Here is a 24044-nt window from a genome sequence, read left to right as displayed (position 1 = left end):
GAGCATTGTACGAATGTTTCCTTGCTTCTTTCTTAGCATTATTTTTCTATTCCTTAAAATAAGCATAGTAAGACTTTGGAGAAGGAAGGACTCCATGTGGCCTGGAATCGTCAGGACAGGTTTCCTAGAGGAGCTGGGACCTGGGCCTCCACTGGACTTGCTGCGTCTGATCTCAAGCAGAGCTGAAGGTGTCATTATTTGCCAAGTACGCCATTGTTCTGAGATTCAGTTTCCTCATTTGTAAATGGAGATAAGCATAACTAATTTACCAACAGATCACACACACAGAGCTGTCCAGCAGGATGGAAGGAAGCGAGGAACCCAGAGATTTGGGTCCAGTCAGAGTTCTGCCACTATGGTGTTACCCTAGGCAGGTCACGTTTTGTCTCTATGATTTTGTCTCCTCATCTGTGAAATGGGAATTTTTTATTTTGAAGTCACTAGGTGAGTCACTTCACCTCCCTAGAAGTTGCTTCCTCATTGGTAAAATGCCTGGTTGTAGCTCTCCACGTTTTTTTCTCTTGGGTTTAAAGCCCCTGTGGCTTGGATTCTAAGCTAGGGCCCACCCTGTCCCCATACCCTCTCCACCCACCATGCCAGCCAAGACAATACACCCTTGGGGAACCATGTTCAGGTCCAGAGAGAGAACAGAAATGCTTCTGGGCCATATCCTCTTTCCAGATGGCCTTTAAGAGAAACAAGAGGCACAGGTAACAAGGAGGAAGAAACTGACCTTGAAAACACTATGAAACATAAGCCAAACTCTCCCAGATAGCTGCTGGCAGGGTCCCCCCACCCCGGCCCCCATCAGCTACAGAGGCACTTCAGAGCACTTCCTGTCTCATTTGGGGCAGGGCTGGCCAGGATGCTCGTGCAGCCCAACCCCAGCCTGGGTAGGGTGCTCTGACCACAGGCCGGTCACATGTAAGGGCAAGCAGAGGACTATTTTTGATCAGTGGTTAGGAGCCAGTGGCAGGTGACAAAACATGGTGAGCGTGAGCAGCCACAAGTGGGCCCTGGGCTCCTGGGCATGGAACTCTCCCCACTCTTGGCTTCCCACTTCCTGGGGTGCATTTCTCTCTTACAGCCCCACCCCACACCACCACCCTCACTCAGTGGCAAACTAAACACTGTCCCTCCTAGCCAGACAGGGGTCTACACCTGGGACACCGTCAGTGGGGTGTTAGGGTTAGGTTGTTTGCCAAGTTCAGGATTGGGACACTCAGCTTTGAGCACCTCCTGCTATATGGAGGGCTCCTCAGAAGGGGAGGTCTGGAGACTTACGGCCTAATTTCCCTAGTCTCTAGAACAGAGCTCCACTTCCTAGGGAGCTTTCTCCAGTGCCCTCCCCACCATTTCCTCCAATATCACCTTCTTCTCAGGAGGAGGGGAAAAGGCCACAGGAGGAAGTAGAGGAGGGTGGGCAGGAGCCAGCTGGGGGATCAAGAGGGATCAGATGAGCACAGAGCCAGCTGATGGGGCTGCACACACCAGCCTCACCCTCTTTCTGCCTCTTCCCTCCTCCTCCTTTCTTCCCCTCATAGACGATAACTGAGCAGCTGCCATGTGCCAGCCCTGTCTGAGTTCCTGCGTATGCACATCTGCCTCACACTCAGACTCTGCACTCTGGCCTGCTCTCCTGCTGAGGCAGAGGGACCCTGTGGCGAGGGAGAGCAGAAAGAGCTCCTCAGCCTATGAAACTGGCCACTACCACAATTTTAGAAATGTGGTCACTGAGGGCCTGAAAAAAAGCCTTGCCCAAAGGCAATCCTCTTGGGACCAAGGCTCCTGCCTGCTGAGGCTGACGAGGTCCTGGCCAGGCAGCACAAATTCCATGCAGGGATGTCCCTGGGGCCCCTGCTGTGCACCCAGCACTGTGTTGGACTGTGGGGACACGGGGTGAGTCAGGCCTGATCTGGGGATGGGGACACAAACACACACAGAGCCAACTCACTCCTTGGTGCCTGAGGAGAAGCCCTGGCGCTGGAGGCACTTAAGAAATGCCCAGTGACCTTTCACACCACAGAGGGCACAAGCCCCCTGAGGTCCAGGGTACCATTGGCTTGCTCTGCCCTGTACCTGCATGTCAACATGGAGCCAGGAGCTGACCTCTGTTTTTGAATCATTAGCTCCTGAGTTGAGGGAATGTGGAGGAAGTGTCTGGGGGTGGGAGTCCAGACACTCATTCAGCGGCTGAGTGGCCCCTGTTCCACTTGGCAGCCCTAACTGCCCCCTCCCCAGCTTCCCCCTTTCCCAGCACCCTCCCACCAGCACCGTCCTGGGCTCCTGTTACTCAGGGTTCAAAAGACCGGAACACGAGCGATGGAATGTCAGGACAGGAGGGCAGAAGAGGGATTCAGGATAGACTAGGTCCTGCAGGGCCCCCACCCCCACCATGTGGCAGCCCAAGGGTATTGACAAGCCTTATGGTGAGCATCCCAGTGCTGAGGTCCAGAGAGGTACAGTGCCTTGCCCAAAGTCACACAGCAAGAAGGGACAGCAGTAGGCCCAGAGCCCCAGTCTCTGCTCTCATCTCAGACTCCACCCACTCTTGCACGCAGGTGGCTTCCCCAGCTGGTTCCACACGCTGGGTGGATGTCCAGGCCTAGCGTTCCTACAGCTCAGAGAGTGCCTGGTCGGCGGGGGGGGGGGGGGGGCGGGAATGGGAGGGTGCAGAGGGGGAACAGGAGAAAACAGAAAGTGCCAGTGATTCACATTTCAAAATGTCGTGTTATTCCAGGCGCTTTCTCGCTTTGCCACCACCTTCATCCACCCCCCACTTGCCATCTTGAGAACCGGCTGCAGGGTGGCTGGGGCGGGGGGAGGAGGAGGCTGAGACCATCATCTAAGGAAGCTGTGTTTCCACCCTGCCCACTGAGAAGCCCGAGGGTGAATGAGCAGTCGGATGAGCACCGAGCTGGGAACCAAGGGGCCTGGGTGCCAGCCCTGGCTTTGGAATTGGTTGTTGTGAGACCCTGAGCAAGTCCCTAGGCCTCTCTCTACTTCCTTTACATACTTCCCCAGCACGTAAAATGGGGAAGTGGGAAGAGTTTGTGGCTCCCACGACTAGTTGCATATCAAAGCAAAACAAAACAGATTCTTGGACTGCATCCCCAGAGATTCTGATTCTATATGTTAGAGATGAGGCCTGGGAGTCTAATTTTAAAGCATACCCCTAAACCCCACCCAACCTGGTGATTCAGTGCAACCAGTCTACCGAGGCGCGGTTAGAGAGTTCCTGGCTATATGCTTCCACGCGGTTTCCAATCATCTCCAGGACTTATTGACCTCCTCCAAAATGCCCTCCTGGATTTACCCAGCCCTCCCTGCCACGTCTAACCCTCCTCACTTCTGGCCTTGCATCCCTGCCCATACTCTCCTACAGCTCCTTAAAAGCATTTAGTCATTTGTGCCTGTGTGTGCACGTGTGTGTGTGTGTGTGTGTGTGTGTGTTCTACGTGAGCTACATGAGCAAGACGAACCTCCCACACAGCACAGAGGAAGTTGCTCAGCACTGGAGCCAGCTAGCCCCACATTTGGAACTGGACTCTGCTGTGCAAAGTTGGGTGACCCTAGGGAAGAGCCCCAGCCTCCCTGGGCCTCCGTTTCCACATCCCTTAGAGGGCCTAGCCAGACCCTGCCTCACAGGGCCACACACGAGACTCCACTAAGGTGGTGTACAAAGACTTGCGGTGGGGCCTGGGGAGGGGTGTCAGTGGCCAGGAAAGCAAGCCGGGTGAATGGTGGACCCTCCCAGAGGGATGTGTGCTACCCTGGGAGGTCTGGACTCCTTCCTCCCAGTGTGTGCCTTTAGGCAGATGGCTGCCAGCGTAGGTCCTCAATAAAGAATGGGTCCACCCCAGTATCATTCGAGGTCCCCACAGGAAACAGAATTCCCCCCAGGTGGCTCAAATGAAGAGACACAGATGGAGGGGCTTGTGACTGAGTTAGGCAGGGTTAAGGAAATCCAAAAGGGATGGGGAGACTCCTGGACTAGAACAGCTGACAGCTGTCCGCAGCCCGCATCTACAGGGCAGGGCAGGATGTCATGGCCAGAGACCAGCAGGAGTGGGGGCCGTGGAGGAGGGGCCGCCCCACAGGAGCGCAGTCACAGAGGGAGGCAGCTCTTCCGAGACACACGTCCCAGAGGGAGAAGCAGAGGAGAAATAGCCCAGCCCCTCTCTCCTCCCACTGTTGCTTCTCATTCTGGTATCTCCCGCTGGCCAAGCCCAGGCAGTGGTCAGAGGCATGGGCAGCCCTTAGAGGTCCCCTCCTGGGGCACAGAGCAGAGCAGAGAAGCAGAGACAGTTTGCTGGCAGGTTGCTGGGAATAGCAGGGCAAACAAACAAGCAGCTCCTCGGGCAGCCTCTGCTGTCTGGGCATGGGAGGTGGGGCCTGGCTTATCAACCAGAAGACAGGTTTGAGCCTCACCACTGCCACAGACACAAAGGGCGACATCAGGAAGTCGCTTCTCTCCAGGTCTCTGTTTCCTCATCCTTAAACCATAAGGGTTAAACTCTGTCCCGAGCCACCTCTTCCAGGCCTGACCTGCACTTCTCCTCACCTGCCTTTTCAAGAGAGGAGAGAGCCCTGCTGGACAGGAAAATGGGCTTGGAGAGGAGGGAAGCGTAGCAAATGGAAAATTAATTCTGGGCGGTAAAGAGCAGAGGCTGTTGTTTGTGATGTATAACTTACTCTTTGTGTCAAACTGTGTACTGTGTATATCAGTGGGATGGCAAGAAAACCGAGATCTATTACTTAGAGTTTAATCTGTTCTCCGTGTTGGAGAAGAGAGAGGGAGGGGGAAAGAAGACTACAACTTTAATCACAGGCCCGACTCAATGTGTCAAGCTGCTCTCGGGTGTGTTAGTAAAATGATGTCGGATCACAGGCTTCCCAGACAGCGCTGCACGCTGCGGCTTTATCTGCCGAGCTGTAAATTAGCACACCTACTTTACGCTCTTCAGGTAAAACCAGTAATTTAGCTGAAAAATACACACACGCACACATGCACACAGAGCATGTTGGGGAGGGCTCAGGAGAGGGGGCTGCCCCCCTTGAGCAAGAAATAGCTAAAAATGAGCAAACCGGGATGAAAATGACACCACGGCTGCGCCTCCTGTCATTAGCGCCTGGGCTCCTGGTGCCAGCCCCACAGCCAGCCCACCTTCCTTTCTACCTGCCTCAGTGCCTCCCCTACCCCTACCACCCCTTTTTGCCATGAACCGTAAATTACATGCTGACACCTTTAATTTGTGCAAAGTATGCCTGGCTGCGCCTGGCACCAGCAGCCGGCTGCTATAATAAGGTCAATCTATATTCATTGTCGCAGCACTTGATGTGCCAGATAACACAGGGAGGCAGCGCGGTGGTGGCTTCTCCGGGCTGGGGGGTGAGGTGGGGGTGCTCACTGCCTCTCATCGCGGCCTGGCACCAGTTGGCTCATCACTTATGCATGGCATGAGCAATGTTATGATTTAGCTAATCACCATCAGTTATTCATCCGATGGCTGCCTAGAGACGACAGTAGCACACGCCTGCCTGCCCAAGCCAGAGAGGGAGGCCCCTGTCCACTCGATGCCACAGAAAGACCACCCAGGGGGTCTGACTGTCCTTTCTGGGGAGTGGCCCCAGAAAGGGAATAGCCCAGGATTATAGACTCCTGGGCTTGAGGAGGAGAAGCTGCTGAGGGTGCCCTGTGGGCAGGCAGGGTCACTGATGTGATGTTTCTGGATCCTAGGGCCCAGCCAGGAATGGGCATCTCACTGATATGTCACACGGCAGGAGCCCAGGCTTTGAAGTCACAGAGTTCTGGGTTCTAATCCCCACTCTTCCACTTCCAAGTCGTGAGAGCTTAGTCAAGTCACTTAACCTTTCTGGGCTGCAGTTTGTCAACAGCATAACAGGGAAACAACTCCATTCCTGGCAGGAAGAGTGTACAGATGCAAAATATGGAATGCGTCTGACATAGTAGGCACTCAGTCAATGGCAGCTGCCAGTATCACAGCCCTAGGGCATCTATCACATGCTTGATTGAGTGAATGTCTGCTTTCAGTGGGGAATACAGATTCAAAAGGCTCATAAGGAATGGGGCTGGGACCAACAGGTGAGCCCATTTGACACAATACCCCCTGGCATGAGGTTATGTTGAGACAGGTCTCAGCTTCTGACGTGTTTGAGTAAGAGGAGACCAAGAAGCATCGAATCCATGGCTGAGGAAGGCCAGAGGCAGGCACGAACCAAGTTCTCAGCCTTCAGCAGGCTGGAGGCAAAAAATGAAGCTTAGTGGCCCCAGCTTATAGAGCTGAAGGGACTTGGAGATTGTTCAGCACAGCCCTTCATGCTAGAGATTGGGCAACAGAGGCAGAGAGGGTATTGGCTGGTCCAAGGTGGTCCAGCCAGTAAGGGGCAGGGCTGGAGTCCTGGCCTGGGCTTCTGACTTCATAGCTCTTCCTGCTGCTCTACAAGACAGGCCCAAAGAGGGGCAGAGGGCCATCAGACTTTGAGGGGATGCCCTTGGGATTATCTGAGTCTTCTCTCTTCCTGGATGCCCAGTCAGGAGTGCACAACATATGCTCCTAGCTCTGTCCACAGCCCTGTAGGCAGTGGGAGGGATGGGTCAAACCCTCAGCCTTCAGTGGGTCCTCAGCTTCCTTAGCTGCACAATGGACGCAAGAGCATCTGCTCCTAGGAGCTAATGAGAAGATTAAGTGAGACCGCCTGGGCAGACCAGGTGAACAGTCTTTTCCCTTCCAGCCAACGAGCTTAGAGTCTAAAGAAGGTAGTCAGGCTGACAGCAGCCTAAGAGGTTACCTAAATCTAGCTGTGCAAAAGCAGCCAAGTTGAACAGTTAATTCTGCAGCCTGAAAACAGACTCAGCAAACACCTCACTGTCCCAGCAACATGCCGACTCTTCCACTACCACACCTTTGTCCACTCTATTCCCCGCCCCAGGAAAGCCCTGCCTATCCTCACAGATCCCCATATCCAGCTCATCCGCCCAGGTCCTGCTCAGATCCGCTTCCTCCAGGAAGCCTCTTCTCTCTCCTGGGCATCAGTGATGCCCTCCCCTACCTGCAGCCCCCACCCCTTCCTGACTGAACGTGGGGCTCCCTCTCTAACCACAAGTGATTAGGCCCCACATTCGAAGCACTGGGTGAGTGATCCATTATTTTAGAGCTAAGCAGCCTTAGGCCTCTCTAGGTCTGTACTGCTGAGCCGCAAAATGGACAGGCAAAGGTGGCATGGTGTATTCTTGGTGGCCCCAGGCATCACATTCCTGAGCAAACTTTCCAGCAATGTTTGGGCTCTGCAGGGAACATAAAGGCTAGGCCAGTGGGCATCTCTATGGAAACTGGCCTGAATTTCCCCCATCTCTCTGGCATTTGTTTAAAGAAATGCAAATGTTCTCACCAACCTGGGCTTGTGCCCTGAGGTGTCTTCTCGTTGCAAGAAGGTAATGTCCCTGTCCCACCTCTGCCCAGCCCCTCTCTGCTCCTGCCCCCAAGGCCAGCCCAGGGCTGGTGGTTTTGTGCATCTTCCCATGTAACACAATTACCCACACACCTGTGCTGCGGGCACCTGCCAAGCCACAGCATGGTGTCCAGTGCTCAGTTGCCCTCGAAATGTGTTTCGTCTCTTATCTGCAAAACTTGGACAGCGTGGAGGGCGGGGCCTCCCACCACAAGTGAGGCCATCAGCCTCCTACTACCAACTGGTGGGTTTGCCTGGCTGGGCACTCCATGCCCATCAGCCCAGGCACAGCTAGAAAGCTCCTGCAAGTCCAGGGCTGAGCCCATACCCCTCATTCCGTAGCATCCTATCACCCACTCAAAAGTGACCATGACACCATTCTGCTTCTGAGGAACTTGAAACCACACAGATGTGGAATCTAAGCCTCCCACAGAAACTGAGACCTCCAGCCTCCAGGAACAGCACCCTCTCTCGGTGCTGGGGACTCAGACCCTGTCATTACAAGCAAGCCCATACCCTCAGCCTCTGTTTTGAACTCTCCCTAACTGACACCTGGCTGCCCCCAACACACCAGTTCCCCCTGTTTCCTCTCCCACGCCCCCACAGACCCTGGGATTGCCTTTTCCAAAACATTTGCCCTCCCTTTCCCTTTCTAAGTGCCATCCTCTCTGAATCCATGTCCATACACTCTACCTGTCACCACTGCCCCACCGGGTTGCACCTCACATTCATCACAGACTTAACTGACACATCTGCCCTGTCTTCCTCCCCACCCTCATCCTATCATCAGTTTTGGTGACTTCAACATCCACTTTGCAGATCCACCCAACACTGGTGCCTCTCTCTTCCTCTACCAGGTCGGTCCAACCATTTGTCACCCTCCTCCCCACCTACTCCCACGGGCATCACATCTTGTACCATCATGAACACGGCACCATCCACACAATCTCCACTTCAAACATCCCACCGGGAGACCACCTGTCATCCTTCCAGATGACAAGTGATCCCTCCGCCTCGCCAAGCCCTCCCACCCCTCACCCTCCTCTGTCACCACCATCAGCCCTCTGCCATCACATCCATCTTTCATCTTCTTTTCTCCCCTTACTTCTTCATACTTAAAGACCATGCTCAACCTGGGTTAAATCCAACTACCCACCTACTCAATGCCTGCACCCACACAGCAAAATAAAGGTAGAGAAAAAACAGACTGGCTTCCTCTAAATTCATAGCCTGAAATCTCAATTGGGCCCTGGTGTTGTTCCACAGCACTGCTACCGTTGTCTTGCACGTTCCCATTCTCCAGAGCAACTGTCTCAGCCTTTCTCCTCTCCCCACACCCCTCACTACCCCCAGCCTCACTTGCCTCATGCTTTGCTCAGGAAATAGCATAAATCAGAAAAGTCATCTTCCCATCGTGAAACCTGGCAGCCTCCCTCCTGCTCCTGTGGATGAAGGCCACTGCTCTGCCCAAGGCCATTCCCTCCATGTGGGTTTTGGATCCCACTTCTGTTATCTGAACCGTAGATACCTCCTCCTTCTGCACATCGCTTCCTCTTTCTCCATTAGGTCATCCACAACAGGCTGCTCTAGGATCTCCTGTGATAAACAAACAGCTCCATTGGGCTCCACTTCTCTCTCCAGCTTCCATCTCAATGTTCTGCTCCCCTTCACTGCAAAAAGTGTTTAAAAAATCGTCTGCACCTCCTGCCTCCACTTTCTTAGTGGGCATTCTGTCCCCATGGCTTAGCTGACTCAGCATTCATCATGTCACCACCGACCCCTAAGTGTCCAGTTCACTTTCTTTTCCTTTCACTTGAACTTTCAGCAGTGATTGATTCAGGACCTCTTCCCACTTCCTATAATGCTTTATACTTGGCCTCCACTGCTCCCTCTCCTGGGTTTCTTCCTACTCCCTGTCTGCTCCTTCTCAGTCTATTCAGCCAACTCTGCCACATGTCCCAGTCTCTATGTGCAGGATAATCTCAGGGGGAACCCCCCGGCCTCTTTCTTTTCTTCTTTCCCAATGGTCCCAAGATAACTTCATCCCATCCAATTGCATCAAATACCAGGTCTCCGTCATTGACTCCACGCCTCCATCTCCAGTCCTGGCTGCTCCTTGGAACTCCCAGGGTGTGTATTCAACTGCAGGAGAATGACTAGGAGCCATCTCAAAATTAATGCATATGGCTAAAACCAAACTCTTAGCTTTTGCTGCAAACTTGCTCCTCCTCCCTGCTCCCTAGACTTCCCACCTCTGTCAATGACATCACCACCCACTCAGGTGCTTAAGCAAAATATCCCAGAGTTAGCTCGAATTCCCCTCTTCATCCCGCACACCCAAGCTATCAGCAAGTCCCTGACCATCCCACCCCCAACACACATCCCAGTCTGTCCACATTCCTCCTTCTCCCCATGGCCACCCCAATCTGGGCCAGCACTGCCTCACTGCTGAACTAAAGTCTGTCTCCTGGGCATCAGTGATGCCCTCCCCTACCTGCAGCCCCCACCCCTTCCTGACCGAACGTGGGGCTCCCTCTCTAACCACAAGTGATTAGGCCCCACATTAGAAGCACTGGGTGAGTGAGCCATTATTTTAGAGCTAAGCAGCCTTAGGCCTTTCCGGGTCTGTATTGCTCATCTGCAGAATGGACAGGCAAAGGTGGCGTGGTGTGCTCTTGGTGGCCCCAGGCATCACATTCCTGGGCAAAGTTTCCAGCAATGTTTGGGCTCTGAAGGGACCATAAGGGCCAGGCCAATGGGCATCTCTGTGGAAACTGGTGCCTCTAGGCTGAAGGAGGGTGGACCCCCCAGGCCAGGCCCTTGCCTTCACTCTTGCCCTCCCAATGCACTCACCGTGAGTCAGCCAGGGTCAGCTTTGTACAGTGGAAATCAGGCCATGCCACTTCCCTGCTTAAAACCCTCCAGTGGCTTTCACCACCTTTTGAATGGAATGGAAACTTCTCATCCCACACAGGGCCCCCAGCGCCTACTCCTTTCCTGCTCCACCATCCACATTGTGGCTTCTTCCCTCCTGCTCACAGGGCAGCATTCCAGACAGGCAGGCTGGGAAGGGAAAAGGGCAAAATGGGGCCTGCCGGGGAGTTTATCCTTTTTCATCACAATAGTAATAACTTTTCTGGGATCCCCATCTAGGAGACATCTGCTTATAGCTCACTGGTGAGACCACATCACATGGACACCCATAGCTTTAGGAGAATTTGGGAAACAGAGTTTGTTTGTTCGTTCATTTTAGAGATGGGGTCTCTCTCTGTTGCCCAGGTTGGAGTGCAGTGGCACAATCATAGCTCACTGCAGTCTTGAACTCCTGGACTCAATCGATCCTCCTGCCTCAGCCTTCTCAGTAGCTGGGACTAGACGCATTCACCAACACACCTGGCTAATTGTTTTAAATTTTTCATAGAGACAGGGTCTCGCTATGTTGCCCAGGCTGGTCTCAAACCCCTGGTCTCAAGCAGTTCTCTTGCTTGGCCTCCCAAAGCTCTGGAATATGTGTTTTTTTTTTTCTTTAAGAGCTGCCTGTTGCTGCCCTAAATAAAAGTGGAGTCACCTAGTAAGGCAGAAATGGAGAATACAGTGACTGGTCCACCAGTGCCACCCAGACAGACTGAAAGTTCCATGAGGTGGGGCTGTGCCTTCTCTTCTGGGACAGGGTCAGATTTTGGAATCCTGTGTTCAGTAAATAGCTACTGAGGAGCTTTTCCTTGCCAAACCCCTTGCATGGCCCAGCATTAAAGAGATGAACCAGACATCTTTCTTTCCCTGTAGAGGCTCACTAAGGCTGGGAGAGAGGCTGCCCAGCAAACTGTGGCATGTCAGGCTCCGCATAGGTGGACACAGAAGGAGCCCTAAAGGCACAGAAATGCATCCTGCATCCTCCCAGATCCATGCATCCTTCTTGAGAGAGAGGAGGCAGCTCCACAGAGAGGGGCCTTGACGTGTAAGCAGGAAACAGAGAAGGCAGAAGGAGCAATATGGTGATGAGGGCGGCATGGCCCAAGGCTGGAGATACGCACACGCACGCCCTGTTCGGCAACTCATGAGCAGTGGGGCAGAGTTGCAGTCTAAGAGGAGGAGAGGCGAGGAGGGGAGGGCAGCTCAGGTAGGAAAGAAGAAAACCTAACTGTGAAGGGCCTCAGAAGTCACACCAAGAAGTTGACATTTTACTGTAGCAGTCATCAAAGAGTTGTCAGCTGAAGGGCAATAAGATCAGATTTGTGAGCTTTTTTGTTTTGCTTTGTTTTGTTTTGTTTTTGAGGCAGGGTCTCGCTGTGTCACCCAAGCTGGAATGCAGTGTCACAATCACAGCTCACTGCAACCTCAGCCTCCCGGGCTCAAGCAATCCTCCCACCTCAGCCTCCCAAGCAGCTAGGACTACAGGCACATGCCACCATGCCCAGCTAAATTTTTTCTATTTTTTGTAAAGATGGGGTCTCACTATGTTGCCCAGGCTGGCAGATTTGGGTTTTAGAAAGGACATTCTGGCAGCAGTGGGTGAAGTGGGTCAAGAGATGGAGGCAGGGAGATCACGTAGGAGGACATTAAAGCAATCCTGGTGAGAAATCAAGAAGGCCTGAATTAATGGAGAGGGAGAAGAGATGGATCCTGAAGGCAGAGTGAGAGAGTACAGAACCACCAGGAAAGATCAGGCACTGGCCTTTCCCTCTCCTTGGAGCTCTGCCCCCACCCCCGAGTCCTACCCCTTCTATGCTCCTGTGTCACCAGGTTCTTTTTCGTTATGCAACGGACCAGACTGAGTGGTGCTACATTTTTTGGGTGACTATCTCCCTCCCCTCCGGCTGTGAGGCCAGAGCATGTCTGATTTCTCATCACTGCACCCAGTTCCAGTTCCAGTACCCTCCCATCATTGCTGATGGGTAGTAGAAACACAGTGCACGTTCACAGGAAGGATGGACCATGCAATGGTGATGATGCGGCAGGAGAAGGGGTAAATGCCATTCTCAGAGCTCAGATTGTATCCTACAAGGGCCAGGAAGACACAGGGAGTTTTAAGTATAGAGGGGACATGGTCAGCCCTGTGTTTGAGATTAATCCATCTGGCAGCTGTGGAAGATGTATTTGAATAGGGCAAGACTAGAGAGAGGGGGACCAGTCCACAGCTAGTTCTAACACTGCAGGCTAGGGAGGATGGGACCTGAATTTGGAATGAGGAAAAGGAATAGAAAAGAGGGATCAGCCTGAAAAGTAGCAAGGAGGTGGGACTGGTGAGGTCTGAAGATAAACTGGAAGACGGTCAATTGGTTGGTGGCTTAGGCAACTGGGTCTGTGATGTCATTTGCTGAGATTGGGCAGTGGGTCAGGGGGAGGTGCCAAAATGAGCTCCACTTGGGACATGTTGAGGCTAAGATAACTGTGGAGCATTCTAGAGAGAAATGCAATAGGCTGGATATGTGAGACTGAAGGTCAGGATGGAGCCTAACACCAGAGGTAGAGATTTGGAAGTCATCGGCTCCAAGAGGCAGTGACTACAGTGACATGGAAGACCGGGAGTCACCAGGAAAGGCAGTGTCAAGAGAGAAAAATAGCAACTCAAGGAGACAGCTATTAAAAGTGCCTACCTTTGAGGGTCTGCAAAGGGAAAGGACCCTTCGAAGGGACAGAGGAGAAAAGGAAACAGGGGGAAACCAGGACAGAGTGGTGGTGTCCCAGGTGCCGGTGAAGAAGTTCAGGAAGGATGAATAGTCAACAGGGTCAAAATCAGTAGCAAGTAAGAGACCTAAAGTTCTCTGCTGGATTTGGCAACATGAAGGTCACTGGTGACCTTTGCCAAAACAGTTTCCATGGTGCTGGGGGTGGAGTCATGTTGCTTCAGGCTGAAGAATATGTCAGGAGTAAGAAAGTAGAGGCAGCTTAGTTAGTTAATGGCTTTGTTACAACTGATATTCCATCTTCTTCCAAAAAAGAGCAATTGCCCAACTGTAAAATATACATTACAATGATCACAGAACCTAGAACAGTGCCAGGCATACAGTGCTACCCGATACAGGTTAGGTATATTTGCTTCTTTTTTTTTTTTTTTTTGACAGTTTTCTCTCTCCCCCAGGCTGGAGAGCAGTGTGTGATCTTGGCTCACTGCAATCTCCGTCTCCCCGGTTCAAGTGATTCTTCTGCCTCAGCCTCCCAAGTAGCAGGGATTACAGGCGCCCACCACCGCACCCAACTAATTTTTGTAGTTTTAGTAGAGACGGGGTTTCACCATCTTGGCCAGGCTGGTCTCGAACTCCTGATCTCATGATACACCTGCCTCAGCCTCCCAAAGTGCTGGGATAACAAGTGTGAGCCACCGCACCTGGCCAGGTATATTTGCTTCTTATATTAATAGGCATACATCCAATAAAGCTGTTAAAACAGAAAATTAAAAACCATGTACAGATACAGACCCAAAAGAATTCGAAGTCGGGATTTGAACACCCATATTCCCAGCAGAATTATTCACAATAGCCAAGAGGTGAAAGTAACCCAGATGTCTATTGATGGATCAATGGATAAAGAAAATGTGGTATATACATACAATGAAATATTATTTAGCCTTTCAAAGGAAAGGAGGGGCCAGGCGCGGTGGCTCATGCCTGTAATCCCAGCACTTTGGGAGGCCAAGGTGGGTGGATCACTTGAAGTCAGGAATTTGAGACCAGCCTGGCCAACTCCTGACCATGGTGAAACCCCATCTCTACTAAAAATACAAAAAATAAATTAGCCAAGAGTGGTGGCGCGTGCCTGTATTCCCAGCTACTCAGGTGGCTGAGGCAGGAGAATCGCTCAAGCCCGGGGGTGGGCAGGAGGCTGCAGTGAGCTGAGATCACATCACTGCACTCCAACCTTGGCGACAGAGTGAGACTGTCATAAATAAATAAATACATACATACATACATACATACATACATACCTACATACATACATAAAAGGAAGGGAATTCTGGCACATGCTACAACATGGTGAACCTTAAGGATGTTATGCTAAGTGTAATTAGCCAGTCACAAAAGGACAAACACCGTAGGGTCCCATGTACAGAGGTGCCTAGAGAAGCCAAATTCACAGAGACAGAAAGTAGAATGGTGATTGTCAGGGGTTGAGGGGAGAAGGTAATGGGAAATCATTGTTTAATGGGTATAGGGTTTCAGTTTGGGAAGATTTTAAAAAACGTTCTGAAGATGGATGGTGGTGACGCTGCACAGCAATATAAATGCATTTAATATTGCTGAACTATATACTTAAAATAGTTTTTAAAAAGTTTTATGCTATGCATATTTTACCACAATAAAAAATAGACATATACAAAGAAAAAGAAAAATATATATTACAACGTGGGCTAATACAATTGCTAGGATGGAGCACTTCATTTTGTCTGAGCTTTCTGGTAACCAGGCTATGAAGAGAAATGTTTGAGTCTGGATCTTTAATAAAAGAAAAAATATTGCAGATGGATGGTGGTGATGGCTGCACAGCAATATGAATGCATTTAATGTTGCTGAACTGTACACTTAAAAATAGTTTAAAAAAAAAATAAGTTTTAGGCCAGGCACATGGCTCACGCCTGTAATCCTAGCACTTTGGGAGGCAGAGGCAGGTGAATCACCTGAAGTCAGGAGTTTGAGACCAACCTGGCCAACATGGTGAAACCCCATCTCTACTAAAAATACAAAAATTAGCCGAGAGTGGCAGGCACCTGTAATCCCAGCTACTTGGGAGGTTGAGGCAGGAGAATCCCTTGAACCCGGGAGGCGGAGGTCGCAGTGAGCCGAGATCGTGCCATTGCACTCCAGCTTGGCAACAGAGCGAGACTCCGTCTCAAAAAAAATAAAATAAAATAAATAAGTTTTATGCTATGCATATTTTACCACAATAAAAAATTGACATGTACAAAGAAAAAGAAAAATATATATTACAATGTGGGCTAATACAATTGCTAGAATGGAGCACTTCATTTTGTCTGAGCTTTCTGGTAATCAAGCTATGAAGGGAAATGTTTGAGTCTGGATGTTTACTAAAAGGAAAAATATTGCTGTTTCCAGAGATCTCAGTGTCCAGCCTACCCCCAACCCTGGCCAGGACTCAATTATAGCAGGCATTTGCCTTAGTGATCCTTATACAAGAGGCATTGGATAGCATGCAGGACAATGCAAAAATCAACAGTAGTCTCACAGAATGCAAAGGCACATTCATGACAACCATTTGTGGTGGTGGTTCTGGAAGAAATGTGAGAGAAAATCAGTGAAACCTAACTTGAGAGCCTTTCTGGCGGGAAGGAAGTTAATGAGGGCTCGAGATGAAGATTTCCAGGAAGGAATTTGGAATTCCCAAAACACATATTCACTTAGTGGTGCCTGTAGGGTTTCCCAAGAGAGGTGTCCTACAGATTGGGTTAAAGATGAGGATCCAGATGTCATCAGTACAGAGATGGTCACTGTAGCCAGAGGTGAGAATGCACTGTCCAGGGAGAGTGCAGAGCCCCAGGGGGGCTGCTTCATAGACACCCCCATTTCCCAGGGCCCACTCAAGGACTGCAGAGCAGGCAGTAGCTGGGTATTTTTAGTGGCCATGCAGGAGTGAGAACTCACATCCTCTGACTCGCTGTCAAGTGTACTGGCCATTGTCCTGGGCACTTCTCTGTTCAGGAGAAAGAACACGATGCTGGTCATCAGGAGGCCTGGTGGGAATCTCATGGACACCACCTCTAGCTTTGTGGCTTTGGATAAGTTATACAGTCTCTTGCAAACTCAGGTTCTTCATCTATGGATGGTAATAACAATTTAACAGTTCCTTCCCTGCTCTCCTTACAAGCTTATTGGGAGCAGAAGGGTGGCTTGAGAGGACTTTAGTCTGTGCTCACCTCCTGTCTCCCTTACAATTTCAAACATATATCAGTCCAAGTGCAAACACTGGGCTCACTGTATAAGAGCTGCTCCAGAAAGTCCCCAGCCTCCTTTCCTATTCACTGACCTCAGATCCACTAGTGGATATTCTCAACCTGCCCCTTGTTGGGAGATCAACTATCATGAGCCCTGTGATAGCAGAATGCCACCTTCAAACTGCTGACACACATGGGCGATTGTCATTCTGTGTCTCAGAGTCTGTTCCAGCTCTCAGGGCAGCAGGGATGCCTTTTGCCAAGCCAGGAAGCTTGGGAGAATGTTGTCTACAGTTCAAACATGCTGCATTTGATGAACCTATGGGCATTTCAGTTGAAGAGACCTGGGTGGTGGTTTCACATAGAGGCCTGAAATCCCCAGTAGGTCTAGGAAAGAGAAATTTGATAAGCATCAATATAGAGGTGGAAGTGGAAGTCATCAGTGGGACCCTTTCCAAAGAAGTTTGGAACTAAAAGTGCAAATGACTTTAATAATGAGATAGCTATTGGGCATCAAGAAGGAGCTGGGGGAAAATTCAGACTTAGAGTTTTCTATGAAAGCTAGAATTGGCACCACACCCAGTCACCCAAGCCTGGCCTGGGTTGCACCCTCACCACGCGTGGCTCAGGGTGCTTGGCATAGGAGAGTCTGCAGAGAGCAGCCTTGCATTAGGTTGGAGTGACTTGCTGGCCAGACTCTTTCAGACACATTGTCTCTTAAAACCTCAGCCTGGATGGCTATGCTCAGCAATCATGTGTTTAAAAAGCAATAAGACTAAATGCTTTCCCGTTTCCCCTTTGAGAGACCATGTATGATAAATGATAGGCAATTTCATGGTTGGAGTTTCAATTTCCGAAAATATTAGTGCTATTCCCCAAGCTCCACTTCAGAGATAAATTCTTTTTGGCAGCCTCCTCCGTTGTCTCCTAATTCCCTGATTCTGAATATATTTGGAGGTTTGGTGCAAATTTCATCAGCTCAGTCCCAGCATCTACCTGTCTGGTCTGCTTTGGAAAGGGTGTCACCCACCTTCTACTCTTTCAGGTTCTTTTTATATTTGTTACAAGTCCATGGTTATTTATTAGGTACCTCCTATGTGCTCCCACCTCCATGCTAAGTATTATGGTGGATGTAGGGAGCTATAATCAATCATTCAATCAACAAACATTTGTCATGCATCCAGACCCTTCAAGCTCAAAACCACAATTCTACAGAGCCTCTCTAATACTTCCTGCTTGCTTCACACTGTCTCCATTTCACAATGGGGAGAACTGATTTCAGAGCTAACCTAGTAACATCAGGGTGGACTAGAGTGATCAGTGGCAAGGTAGGAGAGGGTGAACATTGCGTGGACACCTACAATAGGTCAGGTGCTGGACTGAGTGCTTGCCAACCCTCTGCACAGGAGTCTAAGCTATTTATCTTCACAAAACTCAAGGTAGGTGTTATTATGACCATTTTACGGATGTGGGAACTGAGGCTTAGAAAGGCTAAGCAGCCTCCCCAGGGATTCCCATTCCACTGGACAACACTGCCTCTTCTGATGTCCTGATGGCAGCAGGCTGGATGGTGTCCCAACAGTCATTTCCAAACCATGCAAGTGTCCTTCTTTGAAAACATCAAAGCACCAGTCAACCACAGAAAGAGAAAAACCTACCTTTGCACCTTGATCTCCCATTACTTTGTACTCTCTGCCTGCCCCAGCCCCAGGCTCCTGCTTAAGTTTCCCATGCTAAAGTCCTCAGAGCATCACCCACACTCCAGGGCCCATTCCCTGCTTCCTCTCATGCCATTGCCTTCTCTTCCTAACCAAGCACGCCCCATCATAGGTCAGTGAAGACCCCGATGTCAATCTCTCCTCTCTCCCCATTCACTCACCCTTTAGAGGGGTCATCTCAGGCCCAGGATGATGTTTCTTTCTCTCATAATCGCATGGCTCCCTTGAAGAAGACTGAGCACAAAGCAGGTATTCCAAAAAGCTTGAGGAAAGTACCGGGGTGAAATGTGCTGGAGTGAGACTAAATGAGATGAAGTCAATGAGAATCGAGCAAACAGTGTGGACTGGGGCAGGATGTGATGGAATAGAAGCAAGAAGAATAGTATGGTACAGATAGAAAGAAGTAGGACGAAAAAAGCAAACTAGAATGGAACAGAATAGGAGAGGATGGAACAGACGAAGCGAGTAGAACCAGACTGGAACAGGCTGGAATAGAATAGAACAAGATGGGACAGAATAAAACAGGACAGAGTAGACTAGACCAGGTCAGAACAGAATGGAACAGGACAGAATAGACTAGAACAGGATGCAGCAGAATAGAATAGGATTCAGCAGACCAGCACAGGGCAGAATAGTTGCAAACAGGTCTGAACAGAATAGAGTGCAATAGGATAACAGGGCTGGAGCCAAATGGTACATAACTGGATGAAATGAAATTCACTTCATTCATTCAACAAATGTTTGTCAGGTGCTACTCTGCACTAGGTAAGGAAAACAGAATAGTCCCTGCCCTCGTAGAACACACTGTCTTGTAAAAGGAACCAAAAAGACATAAGTAATTATTAACACATGTATAGTTAAAAACTATGAGTGTCTGTGGAAGAATAAACAGATTGCCATGATCACAAATAATAGGATGAAAGAAATAATATGATAACAAGGAAGTCAGGAAACTCCAACCTAAAGGATAGGGAGGAGCCAAAGACACTTGAAGGCACTTTGGGAGGCCGAGGCGGGAGGATCACAAGGTCAGGAGATCGAGACCATCCTGGCTAACATGGTGAAACCCCGTCTCTACTAAAAATACAAAAAATTAGCCGGGTGTGGTGGTGGGCACCTGTAGTCCCAGGTCCTCGGGAGACTGAGGCAGGAGAATGGTGTGAACCCAGGAGGCGGAGCTTGCAGTGAGCCGAGATCGCGTCACTGCACTCCAGCCTGGGCGACACAGCGAGACTCCGTCTCAAAAAATAAATAAATAAATAAATAAAATAAAATAAAAATAAATAAATAAAAATAAACAAAAACACTTGAAGAACCAGGGAAGAGCATTCTGGGCAGAAGGATCAGCATGTACAGAAGCCCTAAGGCAGGAAAGTGTTTGGCCCATTCAGGGAACAGAAAGAAGTTCAACATGAAGCAAGGCACAGAGTGACAACAGAGGAGGGGGAGAGGTGGGCAGCAGCTAGACGGCATAGGGCCTAGGGAGTTCATTCTAAGTGCGATGAGAAGCCACTAAAGGGAGCAACAGGGGCTGCTGTGTGTTTCATACTTCCTCCTTAGCTGGTGCAGAAGAATGAGTTAGGGCAGGAGACCATTTAGGCATCCACTGCAGACATCCGGGCAGTGATAAAGGTGGCTTGGAGTAGAGAGGCAGTGGTACCAGAGGAAGGAAATGCAGCCAGGTAGAAAAGTGTTCTGAAGGTGAACACGGCTGGCAGGATTTGTTAACGTTTTGGACGTAGGACTGGCAGAATGGGAGGTCTGGAGGATCTGCTGGAGGTTGGTGCTTTCGTTTCCAGGGATGGGACTAAGGAAAAATGGTTTGGGGAGGAAAATCAAGTTTCCTTCTGGAGATGCTCAGGTTCAGTTGCTTGGGTGGTATCCAAATGGAGACATAAAGTAGATTTGGAGATACAAGCCTGGAGCTGGAGATGTGAAATGGGGAGTTGTCAGCAGGTAAATACTCGGCAATGCCTTGGGACTGGATGGGCTTAATCATGCGGCAGTGCAGTGCAGTGCAGTGCAGAACTTTCTTGGACTCTTTGGGGTGCTTGTTGAACATGCAAATTTCTGGGCCCCCAGGCTCCCCAAAAGAGATGTCTAGAGATGGGGCTAAGGAGTCTATATGTTTGACAATCACCCCAGAGTGTCTGGATGCTATCTCACATGCGTAGAACACTGGTCTAAGAAAAGATTAGAGGAGGGCAGGGGCCCTATCACAGAAATCTGCACATTTGCAGATCAGTGAGGAAAAAACAGCAAAGGAGAAAGAGAGGAAATAGGCAGAGAAGTAAGATGGAAATCAGGAGAGGGTGGTACCTCAGAGGCCAACACAGTAGGGGCAAATCAGGACCAGGTGATCAACAGTCTGTCTGCTAAGCATGATGAGCGCAGGAGCCATGAGATGCAGCCATGTGCACGCTTCCAGGGGAATGCTGGGGAGGAGTAAGGCAGGACTGAGTGCGGCAGAGGAGGATACTCTAGCGACAAAGTCGGGGAGGAGTTGGGGATTTCAGAATGGACAGAAGCAAGGACGTCATCCCAAATCAGTGGAAAACTTGGGAACAGACCCTCAAACGTATTTCACATATGATTTTATTCTGTCTGCTACCAGCTCCCAGAGTTCTTGGGCGGGCCAAGGCGAGCAAGAATGCTGGCAATCCGCATTCCTCTGCACACACCAGGAGGGCTTCCTTTTCCTGCCTTCCTACCTCCCAGCTCAGCATCCTCAGGTGACCCTCTCCTCCAGAGAGATCTCACTGCTGCGGTCTTCCCAATGCCCCATCTTCCTCCCCAGGCAAGCCCCAGCCTGTGCCTCTCTCCTTCTCTGCCAGAGCAGCTTGGAGGCTGTGGCCAATGTGTATTACCTGTGCATTCAAGCCTTCCCTCCAAAAAGGGAATTGCTGAGGGTGCAATTTTTTGCACACAGCAGGTTGGAGAGGCAAGAGGGCCTTTCAACTGTGGCCCAGATTATCCTGCCTACCCTGTAAGCAGCTGCCTGGGGGCCACGAAGAGCCTTGATTCTCACTGTGGGTAAGGAGATGAGATGAGCACATTTTAAAATACACATTCAACTTTATACTAGACTTTCATATTCATGAAAGGGAAACCAAAAACCTATTGCTTTCATAATACAAACCTCAAAAAGCAAGCCTGACAACATCTTCTTGTTGGTGGGGCTATCAGAAACAAACAGGGATTTCGAACTAAGGACAACCCCCAAGAGGGTCTTTCAGAATCAAAGTTGATGGATGTTGATGTTTTTCAAAAGGTTAAATAAGATCGAGACATAGTAACAGAAGGAAATACCACCCTTGCTTCGCCCAGACTGGAATCTGATTCTGTTAAAAGTGTGCTTCCCCACTCCCAGTGCCCCTCGAGGGGCCACACACACCTTGAAAGACCTGAGGAGCCCCTGCCATCCATCCAGAGCCAAATTCCTGGCAAAGAGCAGCCCAGAGAGATTTCACAGACATCGCCGAACCTCTCAAGAAGAGTCTGTGGCAGCAGAGGGATTTTCCCCAGGAGAGACGGCGCCTGTTTGTTTTCGAGGCAGGAAGGAGCCGGGAACATCTGCTCCGAGAAGCCACTTGAAAGATAATCAGGCAATGATGTTGGCAAAACAGCTGTGTGGCAGGCGGAGAAGGGGGCGGCCGGGAGCTGGGAGGGTAGGAGGGTGGGAGGAGGGAAGCCCAGCTCTGAGCTATGAGCAGCGCCCAAGAACGCTGCCTGGAAAGCCCCCGGAGCCCTGGCCCATGCCCACTAGAGCAGGGAGGAAGCTTCTCTCCAGGTGAGAGCAGCTCCCACGGGGATCTCGTCCTCATGGAGAAATGCTGGATCTAGTCTATTTCCTGCAGGGTGCAACTCAAGTCCCAGGATGGGACTGACAATGTTGAATTTTATCTGAGCTCTGTGATTCTGGAAAATAATGATGGTTAAAGAAATCCTTCCACCCCTTTGTGTTCCAGGAAAAGGCTTACTGCAATGAAGCATCCTTTCTATATGACTTGGATAGGACTCTTAGATGCCCCCTTGCTTACCCATGATAAGACCAGACTCAGACCCTTTAAATTCCCCTTCTTTGTCTCATAAATCATTAAGTATTTTGCTCCCACTAATTAATTGGAACAAAAGGCATGTTAACAAAACCTGGGTTAAGTTTCTCTCCTTCACCTAGGCCCCTGAATTTTAACCTACCCTCAGCATGAGCCAGCGGGCCATCTATCCTAATGCTCTTCCAGAGACAGGCTGGCCTCAGGGTAAAACATTCTCCCATCTACTGTCCCAGGGTCACCCCCTCTCATCTCCCTTCCCCATGCCTGTTCTTTCTAGCCTGGTTTACTCCCTTTTTATACAAGAAAATCCTCTTTCTATCTTACCTGTGATGCCTGCAGATCTCATAGTCAGAACACTTTCTCTATTGCAACAGTTCCTTCCTAAACCTCTCCCTAACGAAGTCTGTTTGTCTTTTTATTGATCAGACATCAAGATTCTCTGAAGTCACCTCTTGTGGGACAGCTTCTCCCAAAGCCTGAGATTCCACCACAAGAGCCACTCTTTGGGATTAAGAGCAGAGAGGAAATCTCAGAAGACTAAGGAATCTGCCTGCTCCTCACCTACAGGACAAAAGAGCAAAGGCTGAATCAACAAGCTGACCTGGGGAGGAGCTCTGCAGAGTGTGGTCGGACAATCTCCAGGACCAGGGAAGGCTGGGGTCCCTCATTTTCCTGCTTCAGCCTCAGAGCAGGGCAGTGGGGATTCCTGGTTGCAGGGTGTCCCTGTGAGCCCACCAACAGCAAAGAAAAACCTCAGCAGGGAGCCAGGGGTCAAGATCCAAGACAGAAAAGCAGCCCACAGCACTGGAAAACTTTTCTTCAATCACGGCTTTGAGAACAGGTACTTTCAGAGTAAACCAAAACAAAAACAACAAAAACACGAAAGCCCCCTTGGCAAATATCCCGGAACCGAAATTCCACTGTCTGTTCTAGCCAGCGTGATCTCAGAGGCAGGCTGTGGGGGTGGGAGGACACTGCTCTGCACAGCAGGCCTGGGTCCCAGAGCACTGCTGGCGCCGGTAGCAACACAGTTGGGTCTGAAATGATGACAAGAAATGCACTCAGAGGATGGTGCCATGGAGACAGATTGGTCTTATTTGTCATTTCCAAGTCAGCTCACCACCATCATTCTCACACACAGCACTGATTACATTGATTAAATCTGTATGCTTCTAAGTTTGGCTCCCCCCAGAAGTAGACCCTGAGACAAGGATTTGAGGGAAAGTAGTTCGTGTGAGAGGTAATCGCGGGACGCGCCAGTCAGGGAGCGTGGACGTGAGAAAGGGAAGAGAAGGAAGCCAATTTAGGGCATGCTAAAGAGCAGATGAGGCCGGGCGCGCGGTGGCTCACGCCTGTAATCCCAGCACTTTGGGAGGCCGAGGCGGGTGGATCACTTGAAGTCAGGAGTTCAAGACCAGTCTGGCCAACATGGCAAAACCCCGTCTCTACTAAAAATACAAAAATTAGCCGGGCATAGTGGCACACGCCTGTAATCCCAGCTACTTGGGAGGCTAAGGCAGGAGAATCGCTTGAACCCGGGAGGCAGAGGTTGCAGTGAACCCAGATCACACCACTGCACTCCAGCCTGAGTGACAGAGTGAGACTCTGTCTCTAAATAAATAAATAAAAGAGCAGATGACTCCTGTGGGCAAAAGAGGTCCACTTGGGAAGTAGCTGGGCACTTCCTGCTGGCCCAAATTTACCCCTATGCCCAAGTCCTCATTCACTGTCTTTTCGTGGCTGTGTCCCCCATTATAGGAAAAGAAAAGGTCATTTAATGCTCTGCGTTTGCAACCTGCATTCTCCGTGGAACCCCAGGACTTCTGGGAAGTACTTCAAAGGGCTACTGGGAATAGAAGACTAGTGGTCAGGGCTGTAGTCCACACTACCACTTCAACTGGAACAACATTT

General features: G+C 50.3%; 1 long non-coding RNA gene across 2 annotated transcripts in view, besides 6 other annotated features; it reads right to left on the bottom strand.

The window, feature by feature from the left end:
- The window catches only part of PCAT29 (prostate cancer associated transcript 29), a 103551-nt gene that overhangs the window by 25649 nt on the left and 53858 nt on the right, over window positions 1–24044 (bottom strand). The gene's annotated exons all lie outside the window — the stretch shown is intronic.
- Window positions 1038–1117: an enhancer, noted in NCBI's record as "active region_9661". NCBI's record gives its function as "activates an Ori minimal core promoter by ATAC-STARR-seq in GM12878 lymphoblastoid cells {active_cell/tissue: GM12878}" and the evidence as "EXISTENCE:reporter gene assay evidence [ECO:0000049][PMID:35858748]".
- Window positions 3196–3810: an enhancer, noted in NCBI's record as "H3K4me1 hESC enhancer chr15:69958631-69959245 (GRCh37/hg19 assembly coordinates)". NCBI's record gives its function as "activates a minimal SCP1, AML or CMV promoter by ChIP-STARR-seq in primed H9 embryonic stem cells {active_cell/tissue: H9 hESC(primed)}" and the evidence as "EXISTENCE:reporter gene assay evidence [ECO:0000049][PMID:30033119]".
- Window positions 3626–3675: an enhancer, noted in NCBI's record as "active region_9660". NCBI's record gives its function as "activates an Ori minimal core promoter by ATAC-STARR-seq in GM12878 lymphoblastoid cells {active_cell/tissue: GM12878}" and the evidence as "EXISTENCE:reporter gene assay evidence [ECO:0000049][PMID:35858748]".
- Window positions 3706–3755: an enhancer, noted in NCBI's record as "active region_9659". NCBI's record gives its function as "activates an Ori minimal core promoter by ATAC-STARR-seq in GM12878 lymphoblastoid cells {active_cell/tissue: GM12878}" and the evidence as "EXISTENCE:reporter gene assay evidence [ECO:0000049][PMID:35858748]".
- Window positions 4427–5042: an enhancer, noted in NCBI's record as "H3K4me1 hESC enhancer chr15:69957399-69958014 (GRCh37/hg19 assembly coordinates)". NCBI's record gives its function as "activates a minimal SCP1, AML or CMV promoter by ChIP-STARR-seq in naive H9 embryonic stem cells {active_cell/tissue: H9 hESC(naive)}" and the evidence as "EXISTENCE:reporter gene assay evidence [ECO:0000049][PMID:30033119]".
- Window positions 23137–23715: an enhancer, noted in NCBI's record as "NANOG-H3K27ac-H3K4me1 hESC enhancer chr15:69938726-69939304 (GRCh37/hg19 assembly coordinates)". NCBI's record gives its function as "activates a minimal SCP1, AML or CMV promoter by ChIP-STARR-seq in naive H9 embryonic stem cells {active_cell/tissue: H9 hESC(naive)}" and the evidence as "EXISTENCE:reporter gene assay evidence [ECO:0000049][PMID:30033119]".

This window comes from Homo sapiens, chromosome 15, assembly GCF_000001405.40.
Source record: "Homo sapiens chromosome 15, GRCh38.p14 Primary Assembly".
NCBI classification, from domain to species: domain Eukaryota; kingdom Metazoa; phylum Chordata; class Mammalia; order Primates; family Hominidae; genus Homo; species Homo sapiens.
Note: the sequence above shows the minus strand (reverse complement) of the source record. Positions and strands in the feature narration are given on the sequence as shown.